The sequence below is a fragment of the Homo sapiens genome, chromosome 5 (assembly GCF_000001405.40).
Source record: "Homo sapiens chromosome 5, GRCh38.p14 Primary Assembly".
Taxonomy (NCBI): domain Eukaryota; kingdom Metazoa; phylum Chordata; class Mammalia; order Primates; family Hominidae; genus Homo; species Homo sapiens.
The window spans coordinates 87,289,878-87,314,198 of NC_000005.10; the positions used below are offsets into that span (position 1 = coordinate 87,289,878).

At 36.4% G+C, this 24,321-nt stretch overlaps 2 protein-coding genes, 1 long non-coding RNA gene and 2 pseudogenes across 7 annotated transcripts in view, besides 2 other annotated features; 2 read left to right on the forward strand and 3 right to left on the reverse strand.

The window, feature by feature from the left end:
* The window catches only part of RASA1 (RAS p21 protein activator 1), a 124,034-nt gene that overhangs the window by 21,995 nt on the left and 77,718 nt on the right, over nucleotides 1–24,321 (forward strand). The gene's annotated exons all lie outside the window — the stretch shown is intronic.
* Nucleotides 4,312–4,596, reverse strand: RN7SL629P (RNA, 7SL, cytoplasmic 629, pseudogene; annotated as a pseudogene).
* Nucleotides 6,261–20,070, forward strand: LOC124901022 (uncharacterized). Its single transcript, XR_007058861.1, has 2 exons — nucleotides 6,261–9,630; nucleotides 15,316–20,070. It is a non-coding gene; the product is annotated as an uncharacterized LOC124901022 (long non-coding RNA).
* Nucleotides 9,810–9,920, reverse strand: RNU6-606P (RNA, U6 small nuclear 606, pseudogene; annotated as a pseudogene).
* Nucleotides 9,900–10,400: an enhancer, noted in NCBI's record as "H3K27ac hESC enhancer chr5:86595594-86596094 (GRCh37/hg19 assembly coordinates)". NCBI's record gives its function as "activates a minimal SCP1, AML or CMV promoter by ChIP-STARR-seq in naive H9 embryonic stem cells {active_cell/tissue: H9 hESC(naive)}" and the evidence as "EXISTENCE:reporter gene assay evidence [ECO:0000049][PMID:30033119]".
* Nucleotides 10,401–10,901: an enhancer, noted in NCBI's record as "H3K27ac hESC enhancer chr5:86596095-86596595 (GRCh37/hg19 assembly coordinates)". NCBI's record gives its function as "activates a minimal SCP1, AML or CMV promoter by ChIP-STARR-seq in naive H9 embryonic stem cells {active_cell/tissue: H9 hESC(naive)}" and the evidence as "EXISTENCE:reporter gene assay evidence [ECO:0000049][PMID:30033119]".
* Nucleotides 21,594–24,321, reverse strand: part of CCNH (cyclin H) — a 101,460-nt gene continuing 98,732 nt past the window's right edge. For all 4 annotated transcript variants that reach the window (NR_157069.2, NR_157070.2, NR_157068.2 and 1 more), the window contains one exon: nucleotides 21,594–22,918. Coding sequence is in view for 1 of the 4 variants with exons in the window: in NM_001364075.2 (NP_001351004.1) it covers nucleotides 22,874–22,918 (45 nt within the window). In the remaining 3 variants the exon portion in view is untranslated. The remainder of the gene's footprint in view (nucleotides 22,919–24,321) is intronic.

Sequence of the window (24,321 nt, forward strand, 5' to 3'; positions counted from 1 at the left end):
GGATCACAGGCATGAGCCACCGTGCCTGGCTTAATTTTGTTGTTGTTGTTAATAGATAAATTGTCCTTGTGGTTTCTATATTAGTCACTTTCGAGCTTTGTTAAATGGATCAACAACCTTATATCCCATCAACTCTTAATAGTTGACTCACTTGAGTTTAAGTTATATATCCTGGAGCAGTCATCTTGACTTTTGCTATTTAATGATGTTTCTTGACAGTTAGCAAGTTATATAGCTTGTTCTGGGTGAAACCCTTCTGCCTTGCATCTTTACCCATTTGTATTCCATTTTTACAGTGATTTATTTCAAGGCAATGAGGACAAGGAGGATGCAAAATCAAAAAAGGCATTGGATTTAATGGTTAAAGGTGGTGTATAAGGGACAGGAATGCAGTTTGAGTAAAATGGTGAATACTTCTAGATAGGCACAAAAATTTTATTTCCCCTAGTTCACTTTTTAAAAATTAATAAACTTTATTTTTTAGAGCAGTTTTAGCTTTATGGCAAAATTGAGGGGAAAGTAGAGTTCCCATATTCCACCCCCTCTTTTTCCCACTGTTGACATCCAGCACACTGGCACATTTGTTTCCAGTGGTGAACTTACATTAGCATATTATTGTCACCCAGTGTTCATAGTTTACATTAGGGTTTATTCTTGGCATTGTACATTCTATAGGTTTTCACAAATGTTTAATGACATGTATCCCACATTGTGGTGTCATACAAAATAGTTTCATTGCCTAAAAATCCTGTTTATTTTGTCTGTTCATTCTTCCTTCCCCCTTAGCCCCTGTCAGTCACTAATCTTTTTACTGTCTCCATAGTTTTACCTTCTCCAGGATGTTGTATAGATGGAATTGTACAGTATGTAGCCTTTTCACATTGGCTTCTTTCACTAAATAACATGCATTTAGGATTCATTCTTTCTTTCCATGGTTTGATAGCTAATTTCTTTTTTTGTCTGAATGCACCATAATTTATCCAGTCAGCTAGTGGTGGTTTGTGGATTTTGGCAATTATGAATAAAGGTGCTTATAAACATTTGTATGCAGGTTTTTTTGTGGCCAGAAGTTTTCAATTTATTGGGATAAATAACAAGAAGCCTGATTGCTGGATAGTATAGTAAAAGTATGTTTTGGAAGAAACTGCCAAACTGTCTTCCATAGTGGCTGCACCATTTTGCATTCCCACCTGTAGTGAGTGAGAGTTCCTGTTGCTCTACATTCTTGTCAGCATTTGATATTGCCAGATTTTTGGATTTTGGCCATTGTAAAAGGTGTATAGTGATATCTTGTTTGAATATGCTGTTTTCTAATCACATATGATGATATATAATGGTTTGGCTATGTGACTCCTCTAGATCTGTAGTTATGGCCAGGGTGGTGACTCATACCTATAATCCCAGCACTTTGGGAGGCTGAGGTGGGAGGATTGCTTGAGGCCAGGAGTTTGAGACCAGCTTGGCCAACATGAGACTGCGACTCTGTCTCTACAAAAAGAAAAAATTAGCCAGATGGTGGTCAGCACACCTGTGGTTCCAGCTACTCAGGAGACCGAGTGGGGAGGATCACTTAAGCCTGAGAGGCCAAGGCTGCAGTGAGCTATGATTGTGCCACGGCACTCCTACCTGGGCAACAGGGTGAGACCCTGTCTCCTAAATAAATAAATAAATCTCATGTTGAAATGTAATTCCTAATGTTGGAGGTGGGACCTGGTGAGAGGGGTTTGGGTCATGGGGGAGGATCCCTCATGGCTTGCTGCCATCTTCCTGATATTGAGTTTGTTTTCACGAGGTCTGGTTGTTGTAAAGTGTGGCACCTTGCCCGCTACTCACTCTTGCTCTGCTTTCACCAAACATCATGTGATATGTTTGTTCCCGCTTTGCCTTCCACCATGAGTAAAAGCTCCCTGAGCCTACCCAGAAGCTGAGCAGATGCTGACACCATGCTTCCTACACAGCCTGCAGAACCATGAGCCAGTTAAACCACTTATAAATTACCCAGGCTCAGGTATTTCTTTATAGCCATGCAAGAATGGTCTAATGCATATGATATTGAACATCTTTTCATGTGTTTATTTGCCATCTTTATATCTTCTTTGGTGAGATGTCTGTTCAGGTCTTTTGCCCATTTTAAAATCAGGTTTGTTTTCTTATTGTTGTGAAGAGTTCTTTGTATATTTTTGGATAACAGTCCTTTACCAGATGTGTCTTTTGAAAATATTTTTCTCCCAGTCTATGGTTTGTCTTTTCATTTTCTTGACAGTTGCTTTTTGCAGAGCAGAAGTTTTTAATTTTAATGAAATCCAGCTTATTCGTTTTTTCTTTCATGGATTGTGACTTTTGTGTCTGAGAAGGCATCACCATAGCCAAGGTCATTAGATTTTCTTTTTTGTTATTGTCTAGGAGTTTTATAGTTTTGCATTTTAATTTCGGTCTGTGATCCATTTTGAGTTAAATTTTGTGAAGGCTGTAAGGTGAGTGTTTACATTCTTTTTTTTTTTTTTTTTGTCATGTGGATGTCTAGTTGTGCCAGCACTGTTTGTTAAAAAGTCTGTCTTTGATCCATACCTTTGCTCTTTTTTCAAAGATCAATTGATTATATTTATTTGGGTCTGTTTCTGGGTTTCCTGTTCCGTTCCATTGATTTATTTGTCCTTTTCTGAAATACCACACTATCTTGGTTACTATAGCATTATAATAAGTCTAGTAGTGTCAATCCCTCCGACTTTTTCTTTCAATGTTATGTTGGCTATTCTAGGTCTTTTACCTCTCCATAAAAACTTTAGAATCCGTTTGTTGATATCCACAAAATAATTGCTGGGATATTGATTGGAATTGTGCCAAATCTGTACGTCAAGTTGGGAAGAACAGACATGTTGATATTGAGTCTTATTCATGAACTTGGAGTATCTCTGCATTTATTTAGTTCTTTGTTATCTTCCATCATAGTTTTGTAGTTTTTCTTTTATAGATCCTGTACATATTTTGTTAGAATTATACCTAAGTATTTCATTTTTTGGTTGCTAATGTAAATGGTAATGTGTTTTAAGTTTCTTTTGTACAAACAGGAAAGCCAGTGGCTTTCCTTGTATTCTGCAACCTTGCTTGTTAGTTCCATGAGGTTTTTTGTCAGTTCTTTAGAATTTTCTACCTAGACAATCCTGTCATCTGAGAACAAAGACAGTATTATTTCTTCTTTTCCAATCAGTATACCTTTTTCCTTTTTCTGTTTTACTGCATTAGCTAGGACTTTGAGTATGATTTTGAAAAACAGTGGTAAGAGGAGGTGTCCTTGCATTTTTCCCCATCTTGGTGGGAAAGCTTTGACATTCTCACCATTAAGTATGGTGTTAGCTGTAGATTTTTTGGTAGATTTTTTTTTTTTATCAAGTTGAGGAAGTTCCCTTCTATTCCTAATTTGCTCAGCGTTTTAGTCATGATTGGGTATTGGATACCGTCAAATGGATTTTCTGCATCTATTAATATGATCATGTGATTTTTCTTCACCCTGACGTGATTGATTACATTGATTTTTAAAAATGTTGAGCCAGTCTTGGTAAATACTGCTTGATCATGGTATGTAAGTACATTGTTGGATTTAATTTGCTAATATTTTGTTGAGGATGTTCGCATCTATGTTCATAAGAGATTGGTCTGTAGTTTTCTTTTCTTGTAATGTCTTTGTCTGGTTTTGGTATTAGGTTAGTATTGTCCTCACAGAATGACTTAGGAAGTAACTGCTATGTCTCTGAAAGAGACTGTAGAGAATTGGTATTCTTTTCTTTATATGTTTATTAGAATTCACCAGTGAACCCATCTGGATTTGGTTCCCTCTGTTTCTGAAAGTTAGTTATTGATTCAATTTTTTTAATAGATGTAGGTCTATTCAAGATTTTTTTTTCTACTGTGAGTTTTGGCAGATTATGTTTTTTAAGTAGTTGCTCCATTTCATTTAGCTTTGCAAATTTGTGGGCGTAGATTTATTTACAATATTAGTTTATTATCTTTTTAATGACTTTGGGGTCAGTAGCGATTAGTAAAGATCTTCTCTTTCAGTTCTGATATTAGTAATTTGTCTTCTGTCTTTTTTTGTAAGTCTGGCTAGAGGCTTATCAGTTTTATTGATTTTTTCAGAAAAGTTACTTTTGGGTTTGTTAATTTACTCTATTGATTTCCTGTTATCAATTCCATTGATTTTTGCTGTAATTTCTATATTTCTCTTTATCTGCTTACTTTGGAGTTAATTTGCTTTTCTTTCTTGCTTTCTATGATGAAGTTTAGATTATTATTATTATATACAAATTTTATTTAAGAGACAGGGTCTCACTATGTGGCTCAAGCTGGAGTGCAGTGGCTATTCCCAGGTGCAATCCCACTACTGATCTGTGTTTTGACCTGCTCTGTTTCCAACCTGGGTGGTTCACCCCTCCTTAGGCAACCTGGTGGTGTCCTGTTCCCAGGGGTGTTGATACCAAACTAATCGTGGAGGTTTACTGGGCATAATGTACTACAGTCCAGAACTTCTGGATTCTATCCATTTTTCTGCCTTCACCTCCCAGGTAACTGGGACTACAAGTGTGTGCCAGTGCTCCTAGCTGAAGCTCTGATTACTGATTTTTTATCTTTCTTACATGTGCATTCAAACTATAAGTTTTCCTCCAAGCACTGCTTTTGCTGCATCCCAGAAGTGTTAAATTGTATTTTCATTTTAATTTAAAGTATTTTAAAATTGCTCTTCACATTTCTCTTTGATTAATGTGTTTATTCAGAAGTACTTTGGAATTTTCCTATGTTTTGTTATTTATTTCTAGTTTAATTCTGTGGTCTGATAGTAGACATTATATGATTTCTATACTTATAAATTTGTTAAGGTGTGTTATTACCCAGAATGTGGTCTATGTTGGTAAATATTTCATTCGAGCTTGGAGAGAATGTGCAGTCTGCTGTTGTTGGATGAAGTAGTCTATAGATGTCAGTTATATCCAGTTAATTGAAAGTGCTGCTGAGTTAAACTATATCTTTACTGATTTATTGCTGGCTGGATCTGCCCATTCCTGATAGAGCCATGTTGAAATCTCAACTCTAATAGTGCATTTATGTATTTCCTCTTGAAGTTCTGGTTTTTTTTTATTTTTACTCTTCATTGTTAGGCATATATATATTAAGGATCATTGGGTCTTCTTGAGGTATTGATCCCTTTATCATTACTTAATGCCTCTCTTTATCCCTGGTAACTTTCCATGCTCTGAAGTTGGCTCCGTCTGAAATTAATATAGCTGCTCCCACTTTCTTCTGATTAGCGTTAGCGTGGTGTATCTTTCTCCATCCCTTTGCTTTTAATCTGTATGTGTTTTTATATTTAAAATGAGTTTCTTGTTCATATAGTAGGATCTTGTTTTTTGGTCTACTTTGACAGTGTCTTTTAACTGGTATATTAGACTTGATGTTTAAAGTGGTTATTGATATAGTTAAATTAATATTCACCATATTTCTTACGATTTTCTATTTGTTGCCCTGTTTCTTTGTAACTTTTTGTTATGCACTTTTTCTGTCTTTTGTGATTTAATTATTTTATATGATTTCATTTTTCTCTCATTTTTGAGCACACCAGTTATATATATATATTTATTTTATTTTATTTATTTATTTATTTTTTTGAGACACTGTATCACCCAGGCTGGAGTACAGTGGCGTGATGTTGTCTCACTGCTCCATCTCCCTGGCTCAAGTGATCCTCCCACCTCAGCCTCTTAAGTAGCTGGAACGATAGATGCACACCACCATGCCTGGCTAGTTACTGTTTGTGCTTTTTTTTGTAGAGATAGGGTTTTGCCATGTTGCCCAGGCCGGTCTCAAATTCCTGGGCTAAAGCAATCCACTCACCTTGGCCTCCCAAAGTGCTGGGATTATAGGCATGAGCCACCACGCCTGTCCTCTAGTTTTGGTTTTTTTTTTTTGAGATGGAGTCTTGCTCTGTCATCCAGGCTGGAATGCAGTGTTACCATCTCTGCTCACAGCAACCTCCACCTTCCATATTCAAGCAGTTCTCCTGCCTCAGCCTCTGGGGTAGCTGGGATTACAGGCGTGCGCCACCACGCCCAGCTAATTTTTGTGTTTTTAGTAGAGATGGAGTTTTGCCATGTTGGCCAGGCTGGTGTTGAATTCCTGACCTCGAGTGATCTGCCTGCCTTGGCCTCCCAAAGTGTTGGGATTACAGGTGTGAGCCACTACAACCAGCCTTTTTTTTTTTCTTTTTTTTCCTAACTTAAGTGTTTGCCCTGGAGCTTGCAATATACATTTACAGTTTTCCAAGCACATTGTCAAATAGTACTGTATTGCTTCATGGGTTGTGTAAGTACTTTATAATAACAAAATATTCCTGTTTCCTTGCTTCTGTCCTTTTCTATCTTGTCATTCATTTCACTTATACATAGGCATACGCAAGCAGATACATCATTGCTATTATTTTGAACTGTTACCTTTTAGCTGAATTAAAAATAAGAAAAATAAAAGTTTTTATTTTGCCTTCACTTGTTCTCTCATGTTCTTCCTGAGTTTCTGACCTATATCATTATCCTCTTTCATGAAATTATTTTAATGTGTCTTGCAAGGCAGGTCTACTGGCAACACAAGTCTTCAATTTTTGTTTGTCTGAGAATGTCTTTATGTTTCTTTCACTCTAGAAGGATAGTTTCACATGGTATAAATTTTTAGGTTCATGTTTTTTTTCTCTCAACACTTTAGTTTAATTTCATTCTACTCTCCTGTTTGCATTGTTTCTAAGGAGAAGCTGGTCTTCTGTAGGCAAGGTGTTTTTTGCCTCTGGTTTCTTTCAAGATTTTTTTCTTTGCTTTTGATTTTCTGAAGCTTGAATATGATATGCTTAGATTTTTAAAAATTATTTTTAGGTTTTTAGGGGCCTCAGTCTTAATGTTATCTGAGTTTTATGGATCTGTGGTTTGGTGTCTGATATGAACTTGGAAATTCTTAGTCATTATTGTTTCCTTGTGTTACCAGTGTATTTAAGTTACACCTTTTTTAGTTTCCTACAGTTCTTGAATGTTCTACTCTTTCTTTTTCCTCTCTTTTTTTTCTTTGCTTTTCAGTTTTGGAAGTAGTTTCTGTTGTTAGACCCTTAAGCTCAGAGATGCTTTCCTTAGCTATGTTCAGTCTACTAATGAAGCCATTAAAGACATTCTTCATTTCTGTTATGTTGCTTTTGATTTCTAACATTTCTTTTTATCCTTTCTTAGAATTTCCGTTTCTCTGCTTACATTGTCTATGTATTTGCATATTGTCTACCTTTTTCATAAAGCACCTAGCATATTAATCATAGTTTTAAAAAATTCCCAGTCTGGTAACTCCAGAATTCCTGACATGTCTGTTTTTGATACTTGCTCTGTCTCTTCAAGCTGTTTTTTGCCTTTTATTATGTCTTGTAATTTTTTATTGAAAGGTATACATGATGTACTAGGTAAAAGGAACTGCTGCAAATAGGCCTTTAGTGATGTAGTTATAAGGGAGGCATTGTGTAGTTCTAGTATTAGGTCCCAGTTTTTTGGTGAACCTGTGCTCCTGGACTGTGAACATAACCATTGTTTCTCAGTCCCCCACCCTTATCCCTGTCACCTTTAGGTGGGACAGAATGGTTAGAAAGGACTGGAATTTGGTATTTCCCTTCCCTCTTGTGAAAGGCTGAAGTGAACTGGAGTTGTTTACAGTACTTCTTTACCCACAGGTAGGTTAGGCTCTGGTAAATTAGTTTCTGTTCAAGGCAGGCCTTGTTAAGAACTGATTGCTCTGGCGTATTTCAAAATTGTTCTTTTTTCCTTCCCCCTACCAGAAGCACAAAGGGATTTTTCTCTGATATTTACTGTAAGGGCATAGTAGAGCTCCTGGAGGTAAAATTCACAAGAGTGTCAGGGCCTCACATGACTGGATCCTCCTGGAGTTTTTAATTGTCATTTGTTGGCACTGAGTCTCCAGCAATTTGTCATTATAGTTGAGGCTTTCTTACCCTGGCACTGGTTCCCAAGGAAGTTTCTGCTTGTGGGTTTCTGCTCTGATGACTTGAGATTTTTCTCTATCTGCCTACCTGTCTCTCAATTTTGGGGAACCGTGGTTTGCCCTGTGACCTCACTTCTCTGAAGGATCTAACTACAGCTATTGGTTTTTCAGTTTGCTTAGCTTTTTACTTGTTAGGATGGAGTGGTGACTTTTAATCTTCTTACATGTAAAGAAGGAACAGGAGGCTGGGCACGGTGGCTCACACCTGTAATCCCAGCACTTTGGGAGGCCGAGGCGGGTGGATCACGAGGTCAGGAGATCGAGACCATCCTGGCTAACATGGTGAAACCCTGTCTCTACTAAAAATACAAAAAATTAGCCGGGCATGGTGGCGGGTGCCTGTAGTCCCAGCTACTCGGGAGGCTGAGGCAGGAGAATGGTGTGAGCCAGGGAGGCGGAGCTTGCAGTGAGCCTAGATCGTACATGCCACTGCACTCCAGCCTGGACGACAGAGCGAGACTCTGTCTCAAAAAAAAAAAAAAAAAGAAGAAGAAACAGGAAGGAACAGGAAACTGACAGGCAGCAGCTTAAAGCCTGTTTAAAGGTTACAAGTTTTAAAGGGGTTAAAAAGAGATTGGTTTGTGGGAATTCGGAGGCTACATCCTTTCAGAGAATGAGTAGTTAGAGGGGATAGCAAATTAAAGGGAGTAGTTTTTTCAGAATAGCAAAAGATAATATTTGATAATGTTTTTTTATTCTTAATAGTAAATATTTAGCTATTTTATAAATCAATCATTGAGGTTGGATTTTTTGTTTTTACCCTAGTGTATTTGAAAGTAAATGATGCTTTATTTTCAATATTTGCTGATGTATTTAATCAAAACCTAGAGAATTGAGATAGACATTGTATCAGAAGAAAGCAGTTTTGAACAAAGAGAGCGAATTACTAGCCAGTTAACAAGTGTCAGCTGTTTTATAAGCATGGCATAACACTTCCTAAATTGTGCACTGCATTGTTCAGTTAAAGGAATTGGCGTTCTGTGACTTTTTGACAGTTAAATAATTTGAGAACTTCTGCATTTTGGGCCTGTGCTCTTGGAAATCCAGAATGTACATTAACTTATTTATGCCTAGTGTTCCATTAATGGAACGCTAAGCATCTGGGAGTTCTTTATATCCTACTGCTCAAGGTCATCGCCAAGGTCTGATTTTTCACCCTCAAAAAATTGCAACCTTAGACATAAATACAGGAGTCCTATGAGTCATTAATATACTAAACAAACTTTCTTGTTTAACTCTGCTTTTTCTAAACTTACATGCTTAGTGATCATTCTTTGCAGGGCGTGTTTTGAGAAACATAGTAATAGCAAGTAGTTAAGTTTCTATCTACCTGGTGTTCACAGTGGGAGTAGTATAGAGGAAGAACCCAAGTTTAGCCTTTGGAAAACCTGAGTTTGTGGTTTTTAATGCTTTTAGTGAATCACTATATTGGAAAAGTTAATTTAAGTTCCTCATGATTGTTTCCTTTTGTAAAATATAGTAACATTTCTCCATTTCTAATTCACAGTGATGCAGATGTTTTATAGTTACCAAAAAGGCTATAATAAAGTACTTACATATAAGGTTTGTATATGGTTCTCTTTTCTTTTTTATTGTCTATATGTAAGGTACACAACATAATGTTTTGATATGCATATATGTAGTGAAGTAATTACTACAGTCAAGTAAATTAACATATCCCGCATCTCCCATAGTTAACCGTTTGTGTGTGTGTGTGTGTGTGTGTGTGGTAAGAGTGCCTAAAAAATATGGAATGCTTCACAAATTTGCATGTCATCCTTGAGCAGGGGTCATATTGATCTTTTCTCTATTATCATCCCAATTTTTAGTATATGTGCTGCAGAAGTGAGTACTGTATATGGTTCTTACAAAGAAGGGGAACGTTTGACACCTGCTTTCTGGTGGTAGGTGTGATGTTGATGTGAATTGTTCCAGGAGTCAGAAACCTATATAGATGTTGAAAGAATAAATCAGTATGCAAGGGAATGGTGTGTTAACATTATGTAGAGGCAACAGTGCTAAGGAGTTATACTATTTTCTTATAATTTTTTTCCTTTGGACACTATAATATGTGGTGAAGGGATGACCAATAAAACAAGAATAATAGATATTTAGTGTTGCTTATTAAGAGTTAAGCGGAGGGCTGGGTGCAGTTGGCTCATGCCTGTAATCCCAGCACTTTGAGGGGCCAAAGGAGAGAGGATTGCATGAGCCCGGGAGTTAGAGACCAAACCGAGCAACATAGGGAGACCCTGTCTCTACAAAAAATAAAAATAAAAAGTTTAGCAGGGCATGGTGGTAGCACACTTGTGGTCCCAGCTACTTGGGAGGCTGGGGTAGGAAGTTCACGTGAGCCCAAGTGGTTGAGCTTGCAGTGAGTTCTGATCTTGCCACTGCACTCTCACTCGCTTGGATGACCAAGCGAGATATGTCTCATAAGCTGGGCAGGGTGGCCTCTGCGTGTAATCCTAGCTACTTGGGAGGCTGAGGTGGGAGAACTGCTTGAGGCCAGGAATTTGAGACCGCCCTTAACAACCTAACAAGACCCTGTCTCAAAAAAATATTAAAATAAAAAGAGTTAGATGGATTACAAGAAAGCTTCCCTAGCTGGTAAGTTTATCCTGCTTACTAATGACAGAAATATAGTTGAAACATGATAGAATAAAGTTTTGGATGAAATCTTATGCAATTATTTATAAGGTAATATCTACAATTTAATTATTTTGTTGTAAGGATGTTAAAATGAGTTTTAGAATAATGCATACTATTAGAAGAGCTTTTTATATGAAAAGAAAATATTCAGATTTTTTGTTATTGAAAAAGTTTAAAAGATGATTATATGATTAAAATTTACATAGTTAACGAACAGAGAAAATGAAAAATGGTGACAAAATCCTGAGAGGTATAAAACTACATATGCCAAAGAGGCAGATGCATGAATTTCTGTCCTGTCTCTGACCTTAGTGGGCATGAGGCATTAGTCACGGAAAGGCAGAAAAGATGAGGCAGGGTTAGGTCCTGGCTGTGAGTCACCCATTGACTCAGCTGTTAGTACCAACCACTTAGTCTTAGGCTGCTGAATGGGACATAAGTGAATTTTCAAGTTACCACTGTTGTGGCCTCTACAAACATTTGGCAGTATTGGGGGGTTAAGGGAGATTAAGTCCAAGACAATATAACAGATGAGGGAGAGGGTAACAGCTGGACAACACATTGTTATAAAGTGTTTAGTGTAGATATAATTTTGACTGTCTAATGTTTTATTTATGTATATGTATAATTACATATAATATATATGCACATACTAATTTTAAAGCATGCTCCCTTTAGTGTTGAAATGAAAGTTTTAGTATAGAGTTTTTCTGTATTTAGAATTACTTTTTTTCCCTTGGGTATACTTTTTCTTGAAGTATAACACATATAAAGCATAGTATCTTCAGTGTTCAGCACAATGAATTTTAACAAGTGGGTGTACCTGTGTAATCCATACTTAAAGAACCCCAGAATATTATCAGCATCTTAGATGTCTTTTTGTGCCTACTTTCTGCCTAATACACACACCACCTCTTCCTGAAAAACAAAATTCTAACTTCTTGTATCCTAGATTATTTCTGACTTTTTGAGTTTTATATAATAAAATTGAATCACATACAGGTTGAGTTTCCCTTAATGCTTAGGACCAGAAGTGTTTCAGATTTCGTATTTTTGGGGGGCTTTATTTGCATTATACCAGTTGAGCATCCTTAATCTGAAATCCAGATATTCCAATGAGCATTTCCTTTGTGTGTCATGGTGGTCCTCAAAGTTTCAGATTTTGGAGCATTTTGGATTTCAATTTTCAGATTAGGGATACTCAACCTTTACTATCTATTCTTTTGTGTGTTACTTTGTTATGTTTATGAGATTTATTCATGTTGTTGCATGTGACACTATTTCACTCATCTCCATTGCTTGTGTTACATTGTGACTATACCAACAGTGTATTATCCTTTTCTACTAGTGATGGACATGACATTTAGGGTGTGTCTAGTTTGACTATTACAGATAGCATTGCTATGAATTTTCTGATAATGACTTTTAATGAACATGTATAGACATTTATGTTATACACCTAGGATTAGAATTGCTGGGTCATAGGATGTTCATATAATAAGCTTGGTAGGTATTGCTGAATAGTTTTGCAAAGTGTTTGTACCCATTTAAATTCTGAGTAGCAACATGTGAGAATTTCAGTTGCTCTACATTCTTGTGAACATTTAGTATTGTTTACCCTTTTCATTGTAGTGATGTAGGTGGGTTGGTGGTGTAATAGCTCTTGTGGTTTTAATTTTTATTTTCTTGATGTGATGACTAATGGAAGTGTGTATTTTTTCATATGTTCATTGGTCATTTCTATAACCTCTTTCATGAAGAGGTTATAGTTCAAGTCTTCAAGTCTTCTGTCCAGTTTTCTATTGGTTTTTCTTTTTTTGTATTTATTTCTGGTTATTCTCTGTCTTGGCTATGAGTCTTTTGATGAGTATATATCTTATAGAAATCTTCAATTTCGCACTGTTGTTTTTTTAACAGAAGTTAATTTTATCAGTTTTTTCTCTCTTTGTGGTCGAAGTGTAACACACATAAAGCATAGTATTCTATATACTATAGTATACTATACTGTATAGTATAGTATACTATACTAAAGCATAGTATTCTAAGTGTTCAACGCAATGAGTTTTAACAAGTGGATGTACCTGTGTAATCCATACTTAAAGAACCCCAGAATATTATCAGCATCCTAGATATCTTTTTGGGCCTGCTTTCTGCCTAATACGCACACCACCTCTTCCCGAATAAACAGAATTCTAACTTCTCACATCCCAGATTATTTCTGACTTTTTCAGCTTTATATAATAACATTGAATCATAAACAGGTTGAGGTTTTTGGAGTCATGTTTAAGAAATCTTTGCATGCTCGAAGGAGATGAACGTATTTGCCTGTGTTTTTTTCTAGATGCTTTATTGTCTTTTTCTTTTAGACGTACATATGGAATTGATTTTTGTGAATGGAGCAAGGAAGAGGTCAAGATTCATTTAAAAACAATGTCCATATCTAGTTGACCCATTTCCGTCAAGTAAAGAGCTCATATTTTTCATACATGTGTGAGTTTGTTACATCTCACTTCTGTCCCATTAGTCTACTTGTCTATCTTTACATTAATTCTCAATGTATAATAGCACGACTAATTGTTCTTCAGTAGGACCTGTCTCTTTTTCACTAGTGAAATTGATACTTTGTGACCTTTTTCATTTGTTCAGTCTTCTTCCAGTCTATCAATTTTGTTAATCTTTCCAAGAACTAATTTTTCATTTTTTTTCCTGAAGTCTTACGTTGTACCTTTGCTTTTGATTTCATTAATTGTGTCCTATTTTTTTTTTCTGTCTTTTCAGGTTTAACTTTTTGTCTTTTCTAATTTCTTGAGGTAGATACTTAAATAATTCTTCTCAGTCTTCTTTTTTAATATAAGCATTTAAGGTTACAGATTTCCCTTCAAGCATAACTTCAGCTACGTGTCACAAATTGTTATATGACCTGTCTGCATTTGATTTCTTCACTAGCATATTGTGAAGACATATTTCCACATAAATGTCAACTTTTACAGTTTTTCTAGGGGTTAGTAATTTTTTGATTTAGTTCCCTTGAGAGAACATACTCTGAATGAATTCAGTCATTTGAAATGAGGCTCGCTTTTTGATTCAGCATATGGTTTCAGATTAATGTTCTATGTTCACTTGAAAGGTATATATATATAATTCATATATATAATTCATAATTCTAGATATGCATACACCAATTTCTAATGAATTGATTACTGTATTATTACGAAATGTCTGTTATCTTTGATACTTCTTGTCTTTTTTTTTTTTTTTTTTGAGGCAGAGTTTTGCTCTTGTCGCCCAAGCTGGAGGCGCGATCTCGGCTCACTGCAAACTGCACCTCCTGGGTTCAAGTGATTCTCCTGCCTCAGCCTCCCAAGTAGCTGGGACCACAGGCGCCCACCACTACACCTGGCTAATTTTGGTATTTTTAGTAGAGACAGAGTTTCACCATGTTGACCATAGCTGGTGTCAAACTCCTGACCTCTGGTGATCCTCCTGCCTCAGCCTCCCAAAGTTTTGGGATTACAGGCATGAGCCACTGCGCCCAGCTGATACTTCTTGTCTTAAAATCTAGTTTGTCTGACATCAGTTTTCTTTTGATTAGTGCTAGTGTGGTAAAGCATTTTGTATTCTTCTACTTTCAACATTTCTGTATTCTTACATTTAAGATACATCTCTTATAAGTGGGTTTTATTGTTTCATATAGCCTGACATCTTAGTCTTTTAGTGATTGTCCTAAAGATTACAACATGTATCATTGACTTATTACAGTCTACTGAAAATATTTACTTTTACTATTTCCCTAACAATTCTAGGAACTTAGAACATCTGAACTTCACTTATCCTTCTGCTTTTTGCATTATTGCTCTGCATGTTTATTATACACTTTTTTTTTTTTTTTGACATGGAGTCTCACTCTGTTGCCCAGGCCGGAGTACAGTGCTACAATCTCGGCTCACTGCAACCTCCGACTCCTGGGTTCATGCAGTTCTCCTGCCTCAGCCTCCCAAGTGGCTGGGATTACAGGTGTGTGCCCCCATACCCAGCTAATTTTTGTGTTTTTAGTAGAGATGAGGTTTCACCATGTTGGGGAGGCTGGTCTTGAACTCCTGACCTCAAGTGATCCACCCGCATCTGCCTCCCAAAGTGCTGGGATTGTAGGCATTAGCCATCGTGCCGGCCTATTGTACACATTTTAATATTCATTAGATATTACTGCTTTGTACAGTCAATGTTTGTTTACACATGTATTTACTCTTTATGATGCTCTTCACTTTATGCTGCATTTCCATTCTTTCCTGTAGGTTAGGAACTTTTTAACTTTTTTTTTTGGCCTGTGTAACTTCTTTTAGTCCTTTTTTTTTTTTTTTTTTTTTTTGGTAAACGTCAGTTGTCAAATATACTTTGTATTTATCTGAAAATGTACTTGTTTTTGTTTTTGAAGGATATTGTTTCTGTGCATTAGATTCTAGATTCACAGTTACTTTCTTTCAGAAATTTGAAGATATTCCATTCTCTCTGCTTTCCAGTATTTTTGTTGCAAAGTTAGCAAAAATTTTTTATCTGTTTCTTTGAATATAATGTCTTTCTGTTTTGACTACTTTTAAGATTTAGTTTTGCCAAAGAACGAAACTGGAGGCATCATGCTACCCAACTTCAAGCTATACCACAGAGCTCCTGTAACCAAAATAACATGGTACTGGTACAAGAACAGAGACATACACCGATGGAACGGAATAGAGAACCTGGAAATAAGACCTCACACCTACAACTATCTGATTTTTGACAAACTTGACAAAAACAAGCAATGGGGAAAGGACTATTAAATGGTGCTGGGATAACTGGCTAGCCATATGCAGGTTGATTGAAACTAGACCCTTTCCTTACACCATATGCAAAAATTAAGATGAAATAAAACTAAAATATAACACCCCATACTATAAAAACCCTGGAAGACAACATAGGCAGTACCATTCAGGACATAGGCCTGGGCAAAGTTTCATGAGGAAGATGGCAAAAGCAATTGCAACAAAAGCAAAAATTGGCAAATGGGATCCAGTTAAATGAAAGAGCTTCTGCACAGCAAAAGTAACTATCAACAGAGTAAACAGACAACCCACAGAATGGGAGAAAATTTTTGCAAACTACATATCTGACAGAGGTCTAATATCCAGCATCTAGAAGAACTTAAAACACATTTACGAGGAAAAGAATCCATTAAAATGTGGGCAAAGGACATGAAGAGACATGTTTCAAAAGAAGACGTACTTGCGGGCAAGAATCAGATGAAATAAAGCTCAACATCACTGATCATTAGAGAGATGTAAATCAAAGCCACAATGACACCAGTCAGCATGGGTGTTATTAAGAAGTCAGAAAATCACAGATGCTGGCGAGGTTGTGGAGAAAAAGGAATGCTTATACGCAGTTGGTGGGAGTGTAAATTAGTTCAACTGTTGTGGAAGACTGTGTGGAAATTCCTCAAAGATCTAAAGATAGAAATACCATTCAACCCATAAATCTCATTAGTGGGTATATAACCAAAGGAATATAAATCACTCTATTATAAAGACACATGCACATGTATGTTCATTGCAGCACTCTTCACGGTAGCAGAGACATGGAATCAGTCTAAATGCCTGTCAATAATAGACTGGATAAAGAAAATGTGGTACATATATACCATGGAATACTATGCAGCCATTAAAAAGAACAAGATTATGTCCTTTGCGGGGACATGGATGAAGGTGGAAGCCATTATCCTCAGCAAACTAATGCAGGAAGAGAAAAGTCAAATACTGCATGCTCTCACTTATAAGTGGGAGCTGAATGATCTGAACACATAGAGGGGAACAACACACACTGGGGCCTAATTGAGGGTGGAGGGTGGTAGGAGGGAGAGGACCAGGAAAAATGACTAATAGGTACCAGGCTTAATACCTGGGTGATGAAATGATCTGTACAATAGACTCCCATGACACACATTTACTTATGTAACAATCCTGCACATGTACCCCTGAACTTAAAAGTTGAAAAAAAAAATTCAGTCTTGCCTTTGGTTTTTAGCATTTTTACTATGATATGCCTAGATGTGGCCTTTTTTTTAAGAAAAAAAGAAAAATCTTGCTGGGGTATATAGAATGCTTGAATCTTTGCCTTAACATTTTTCATTGAGTTTGGAAGATTCTTGACCATTTTTTCTTCATACTTTGCTTTTGTTCTATTCTCTATTGCCTCCTTTCTCGTACTGTACATGTATGTCTGCGTACCCTCCGCCACCTCCCCTTTTTTTGAGACAGGGTCTCACTCTGTCACCCAGACTGGAGTGCAATGGTACGATCATAGCTTACTGCATACTTGAACTCCTGGGCTCAAGCAGTCCTCTTGCCTCAGCCTCCTGAGTAGCTGGGGACTATAGGTGTGCGCCACTGTGTGCAGCGTATTTGTTTTAGAAAACCTTTTTTGTAGAGTTGGGGGTCTTGCTTTGTTGTCCAGGCTGGTATTGAACTCCTGGCTTCAAGGATCCTCCCTCGTCAGCCTCCTGAAGTGTTGGGATAACAGGTGTGAGCCACTTTGCCCAGCCCGTTAGTCATTTTTTAAAAAACGATGTCCCATTCATCTTTTGTATTCTTTTCTGTATTTTCTTTTTTTCTGCATTACGGTTTGACAGGTATAACTTTTCTGTATTTTCTGTCCTTGTTTTCTTTTTATGCTCTAGTAAGTGTATTTTCTATGAAACTTTGCAAATTATTAGCTTCTTAAAAATATGCCTAATCTGAGGCAGGAGAATGGCGTCAACCCGGGAGGCGGAGCTTGCAGTGAGCCGAGATCGTGCCACTGCACTCCAGCCTGGGCAACAGAGCGAAACTCTGTCTCAAAACAACAACAACAACAACAACAACAACAACACAAAACTGCCTAATCTGCTGTTAATATTATATTTAGCTCTTAATTTTACAAATTTGATTACTTTTTAAATATTCAAATTTTATCATTAAATTCCATCTTTATTTTGTGTTTTCCTGTATTTTCTTGAATAACTGTTATAGCCTTCTGTCTGTAATTTTAAAATTTATTCCCCTTTGGGTCTGACATTGATAATTTGTGACTTTTTCTTCTTTGATCAGTCTTAACAAAATGTTGACTTTAATAGTCTCTCCAAGAACCAACTTTTGTTTTTTTCCTGAAGTTTTATATCTTTGTTTCATTGATTTACTTGTTTGTCTTCTTGTATACTCTCTCGGCGTGCGTTACATTTTAATTAAATGCCAGACATTGTGTTTGACAATTTTATAGGTTATCTGAATGATCATTTGCTGTAGAGGATGGACGGCTTAGCCACTCCTGTGTTAGGCAGATAGAATGCAGTTAGATCACCTTAATCACAAAACTTTTGAATACTGCAGTTTGCTATGCAGTCTTTCCTTAGCTTCTTATCTGTGTAGCTTCACAATTCAGTAGATATCGCTGGAGGGAAATAGTTAAGCCTGTGGTTCAGTTCTCTGTTTCTTTTTTATGACCAGAATCCTGGCCCTTCAAGTCTCTTAATATTTGTCTCACCAGCTTTGTGAGACTGTTGAAAGTTCTGCTGGATTGTTTTCCTCCTGAGAATTCATGCAAAAGACCCAGACAGAAGACCTGGGTCTTTTGCATGAATTCTCAGCCTCTTGCTTTGTGACCACAATATGCAAATAAATAGTTTGAGAGAAAAAGTGGCAGAGTGGCTGCTGAATGGCACCTTCTTTAGGATTCTATTTGTTTTGAAATGTTGGTTCCTTAAGTTCTGATTGCCTCCATATTGAGCTCTTGGATGATTTAAACAGACTGATCTTTTTATTTTTTATTTTTTGTGTTTTATTTGTCTTTTCTAGCAGTTCTTGATTGGAGATTATTCTGCTGCAAGTAATGTGACAAGTATTATAACTATTATTAAAAAACAAAATAATGAACAATATAGGAAAAAGTCTTTACTCCCTCATACCTCCATAATCTCACTGTTCTTGGTAGTAACCATTGCTGTTGTGTATATATATGTATAATGTACATGCATTTGTATAACACATAAGTATACGTTTACCTATGTGTAACATACAGTAATGTTAGCATAATGACATTTTGGTCAGTCCTATAGGATTATAATGCCATATTTTTATTGTGTCTTTTCTGTATTTAGATATGTTTAGATACACAAATACCACTGTGTGAAAATTGCCTATAGTATTCAGTATAGCAATATGCTGTACAGGTTGGTAGCCTAGAAACAATATGCTATACCATGTGTAGTAGGCCATGGCAGTTAGATTTGTGTATGTATACTTTATGATGTCTGCACAATGATGAAATTGCCTGAAGATAAATTTCTTAGAATGTATCCCTGTCGTTAAGCAATGCATAAGATTAAGTTTTCTAATAGGCAATGTATATTTTCACAGAGGGGAAAAATACAACATATTAAAAAAGGTACTCTTTAATTAAAAAGATCCCTTTCTGCCACTGGCTCTCAGTTTCCCAGTTAGACTTTCTAGGGTCAATACCAATTCTGTATATATTGGTTTATTTAAGGGATGACATTTTTAGAACCTGTCTTATCCCAGGCACTATTTTAGGTGGTTAGGATACATGAATAAACAGATTAAGATGACTGTTGCTCTGTAGGTTATATTTTGCAGAGAGGAGACATACAATAAATATGATACATACATAAATAGTATAGAATTCTAGAAGGTAGTAAGTGCTATGGCAAAAAGAAAAGAGCAATCAGACAGGATAGTAGGGCACTGGAGAGGAGAAGTTGCCATTTTAAATAGGGTAGTCAGTATAGGACTCATTGAGTGACATTTTTGTGCAAAGACTTGAAGATAAGTATATGGTAATACACACAGTGTGTTTGTGTACTTCTGAATGTTTAAACTGCCTTGCTCTTTTAAGTAACCACATAGTTTTCTATTGGATGTACATAATTTATTTACTCTTTAGTGATTAAGTTTTATCTAGTCTTATGATACTGTAAACAGCCACAGTGATGATCCTTTCTTGTGTTATGTGAGCACATGCACATCTTGTATTTTGCCTGCTTTCATATATTTTGTACTGTCAAATCTCAGTCTTTGTATATTTCTTTGATTTTTGGTTTTTGTTTTGGCTTTTAAGCAAAGATTATCATATATCAGTATTTTATATATAAACCTATAGTTTTTATAGTATTAAAAAAATACTTTAACTTGTTTAACATTTAATTTGGCATGGTTTGGGATTCTAAGTTGATAACTTTCCAAGCATCTTACTGAATGTTGTATCAGTATTTGTTGAATATTTTTTGTGATATGCTTTCTATTATACATTAAATTTTTATATGTGATAAGATCCTTTTTTAGGATTTATGTTTATGTGCTAGTTGAAAGCTCTTCTACTTGTTGGGTGACTTGGAGGCAGGGCTTTACCAGGAAAAAGAAGAAAGAGAGGTAATATAATGTTTTGACTACAGGAAAGACTTCTGTTGTTGGTTGGGGCAAGTAATGTCAAGCAGTTTGTTGCTTTTGAAAATCAATTGACTGCTTTGAGGTTGATTTCTTTGTGAATAACTTTAAGTTATATGTAAGACATTCCTAAATTTCTGAAATTGTGTTAAAGATGAGGATCATAGCAAACTATCAAGAAGAAAATAAGGAATTTTAAAAAAGAATTCCATAGATGTGTGATTCATCTAAAGAAAAATTACTAATCAAAAGAGACTAGAATTTATCATCAAAATATTTGCAAGCAAAGGAAAGATGCAAAGCTAGTAAGTTAAATCTGAAATATGTCAATAGAATATGAGAGTTGAATTAAGAAATTATTTAGAAATAACTTATTTCCTGAGTTATTTTTTGCAATCGAGTTATCTTACTTGAAAACAATGGCCACCAAAAATTTACAACTAATGGAGTCTGAGTAGGCTTTGCATAAAGAAGTAGGAAGGAATTAAAATTTTGTTACAATATTCGTGATGGTCTTGTTTTTCATGTAAGCGCTGACAGACTTAGTTAAGATTGTTCAAGAAAGTGGTTGGAATGGCTTTCCTGGTATTGATAGTCTCTTCTAGTCTGCTTTCACTAGAGTTCCAAACCATGGGGTTCCCTGAGGCCCTTTCAAGAAGTCTGTAAAGTCAAATAATTTTCATAATACTAATGTATTATTTGCCATTTTCAGTTTCTTGACATTTGCACTATGGTACAAAGCAAAAACTTCTGATGCCTTAGTATAAATTAATGTAGTAATTGCATTAATGTACCAAATGATTCATTATCAAGTAATTTATGCATCAAACTATACTAGTAATTGTTGTATTCTTTGCTGCCACATAGCTGCAGAAAAAAATAAAGCCAGTTCCAGTTAAGAATGTCTTTGATAGAACAGTAAAAATTATTAATTTTATTAAGTTGCAGTCCTTGAGTATATGTCCTTTTAGTATTTTGTGGGTTGAAATGGAAAGAACACATAATACTATATTCTGACGTGCAATGTCTTGAGAAAAAATAGTTATGCGATTATTGAGTCGATATCTGAACTAGCCACTTCTTTTATGACACATTAGTTTTACTTTGAAAAATAGCTGACAAACTATGGTTATTTAGATTTCAGTATATGGCAGACATTTTCTTGAAAAAGAACAAAGTGAGCCTGTCACTTCAAGGAAAAAAACTGGCAGTATCTGGTGCTTTCAGGCGATATTTAAATTTTCAAGCAAAAATTAGAATTTTGGAGGCTTTGTATCTACAACTGTGACTTTGAGGGTTTCCCAAATACTTAATGACTTTTCTGATGAGATTGATGGTTGTCAGAAGTCTCTGAGACCAACCTCAGGTTCAGTGATTTTCTAGAAGGACTAACAGAACATGGCAAAACTGTTATACTCACAGTAATAATAGTTTATTATAGCAAAAGGCTACAGTTTAAAATCAGCAATTGAAAAAGGTGCATAGGGCAGAGTCCAGCAGAGATTAGATGCAAGCTTCCAGTTGCCCTCTCCCAGGGGAGTCATAGAGACAGTGCTTAACTGCCGCTCACAGCAGCAGTATGTGACAACACGTGTCAAGTATTGCCAACCAGGAGAACTCACCTGAGTCTTGGTGTCCAGGGATCTTTTGGGTATCTTTCATGAAGGTCTAAAGTGCCCACGTCGCTGACTTTAGTAACTCCATCTGTTTGACTCCAGAGGTCAGACTGATACTGCATGGACCAAGGCCCCTCCCGTAAATTACATTGTTAGCATAATCTGTATGGTGTGGCTGAAGGCTTTCAGTAAACAAAGGCACTCTTATTAAGCAGGATATTTCAAGGGCCTTGGGTGGGCAAGGGCCAAACCTTCCTTTGGAATATCCAAGGTGTGGACAACCTAGCCCTACTGGGTTATTAATCCTTTACTGCATACTGGTGATATATAAGGAATGTAATGTTTTGATAATGTAAATGAAATGTGTTAATATCTGGAAGATCTGCATAGCTCAGTGAAGCAGTATTTTTCAGATGATCACTGCATGATGCAACCTATGATATGCATCAGTAAATGATAGACCAGTGGATTTTAATGGAATAGAATACAAATGTTATTATACATGTGGTCAGATTCTACATTTCATTTAACTTATATGTAACTTTAGTAAGTAATAGTCTTCATATACTATGAATCAAAGCAATATAGAGCAACATATTGAATGCAGAAACAGATAAGGAAATCTGTCTTCTGTTAAGTTAGATAGTAAACATTTGTACAAAAATGTAAATTGGTGCTGCTCTTCTCATAAATTTTTTTTGGAGAATATATTTTACGTGAAGAATATGTTATCTGTATTAACAGTTACTCCATTATGTGTAATTTTTAAATTAATTTCTAAACATTTAAGATTTTCTGAGTTCTAATTTCTAATACAGTAAATATTGACAGCTATAACCTACAGAAACAGAAGTTCTTTAGGGGCCAGCAATTTTTTAAACATCTGAACGGGCCTAGAGACCTTTTCGCTGGGTCTCCTCTTTCTGGGCTAGAGGTTATCGAAGGATGAGATGAACAACTAAACTAAGGGAAAGATAGTTTGCAACTGGAATCTCAGGGATATCTGGAACTGGGGATGTGAATGCTACCATGAATCTTCATTTCCATCTCTTCATCTGTTTGGTCCTCTCAGCTTCATTCTTTCTTCTTATACACAGGCTCCTCAGAGTACTGGAAAATCTAGCAAACAAATAAACAAGAACTCTTTCTTTGATCTTGCATCCTAAATCTTTCGCTATCAGAGAAAAAAACAGATTTGTTAGTATGAGTGTGAAAAAAATACTTGAATACTTGGTTCAGGTGTTTATCAGGGAATGATCAACTATGAGTAGGCCAGATTATTGAAGGAAAATGATACTTTCCCTGTTGGAATTGAGGGAGAAAGAGTTCCCACAGAGAGACTGTGAGTGTTTTCCCTGAATTGGATGGGGGCTGAACAGGCGTCTTACAAATCATCTTTGAGTGTCAACAAGTTGTATGGACTGCAGATATTATGGGAGTTCAGAGTAGGGGAGGTTAGGGTGTTTAAGTGAGGAAACTCACATTTCTATCTCAGTTTTTGATGTGATCAAATGGCATTTTATACTGGGTGAGTTTAGGTTTAAAATATCACTTTGGGCACAGGTGGTCTTTAGCTAATCTAATATCTTTGAGGTGGCTGAATTTTGGCTCTCCCTGGAGGTATAGGTATTCCTTGAAGGGAAGAGTGATAGATAACTACCACAGGGTAGGAGGACAATGCAAATAGTTTGGAAGCCGGGCTTTACCAAGAAAAAGAGGAAGGAGAGGTGAGAAATAGCTTGAATGGGAGAGTGAAAGTCATTCTCCAGTTTGGCTAGATACGTGGATTTCAGTAAGCGATTATGACTTTTGAATTTCCACATAGGCAGGACTTTTTGACAGATTTGTTTTCCTCATCTCCCACCTGCCAGTGTCTACTGTGTTCAAGGCATTGTGCCATGTGCTAGACTAGAGAATTGTGAAGATGACTTAAATGTCCCCCAGTATCCACAAGTAACTTTTTACTTTAATGGAGAAAACAGATATGAAAATGATTGATTATATTACAGATAAGATAAAATGCCAAAAAAAGTCTAAGAAATCAGCTGACATCATGGTAGACGATTAATTATGACCAAGGGATCAACGAGATGACATTTAAGGTAGACACTGAAGAATGAGAGAGATTTCTGTAGACAAAGGGATGGCAATAAGGACATTGCAAATTAAAGGAGTAGTGTGATCAAAGAGGTCTGAAAATGCATGTTTGGGCCGGGCGTGGTGGCTCATGCCTGCAATCCCAGCACTTTGGGAGGCTGAGGTGGGCGGATCACCTGAGGTCAGGAGTTTGAGACTACCCTGACCAACATGGAGAAACCCTGTCTCTACTAAAAATACAAAAAATGAGCCAGGCGTGGTGGCACATGCCTGTAATCCCAGCTATTCGGGAGGCTGAGGCAGGCAGGAGAATCGCTTGAACCCGGGACGTGGAGGTTGCGGTGAGTCAAGATCATGCCATTGCACTCCAGCCTGGGCAACAAGAGCAAAACTCTGTCTCAAAAAGATAAAAAATAAAAAATAAA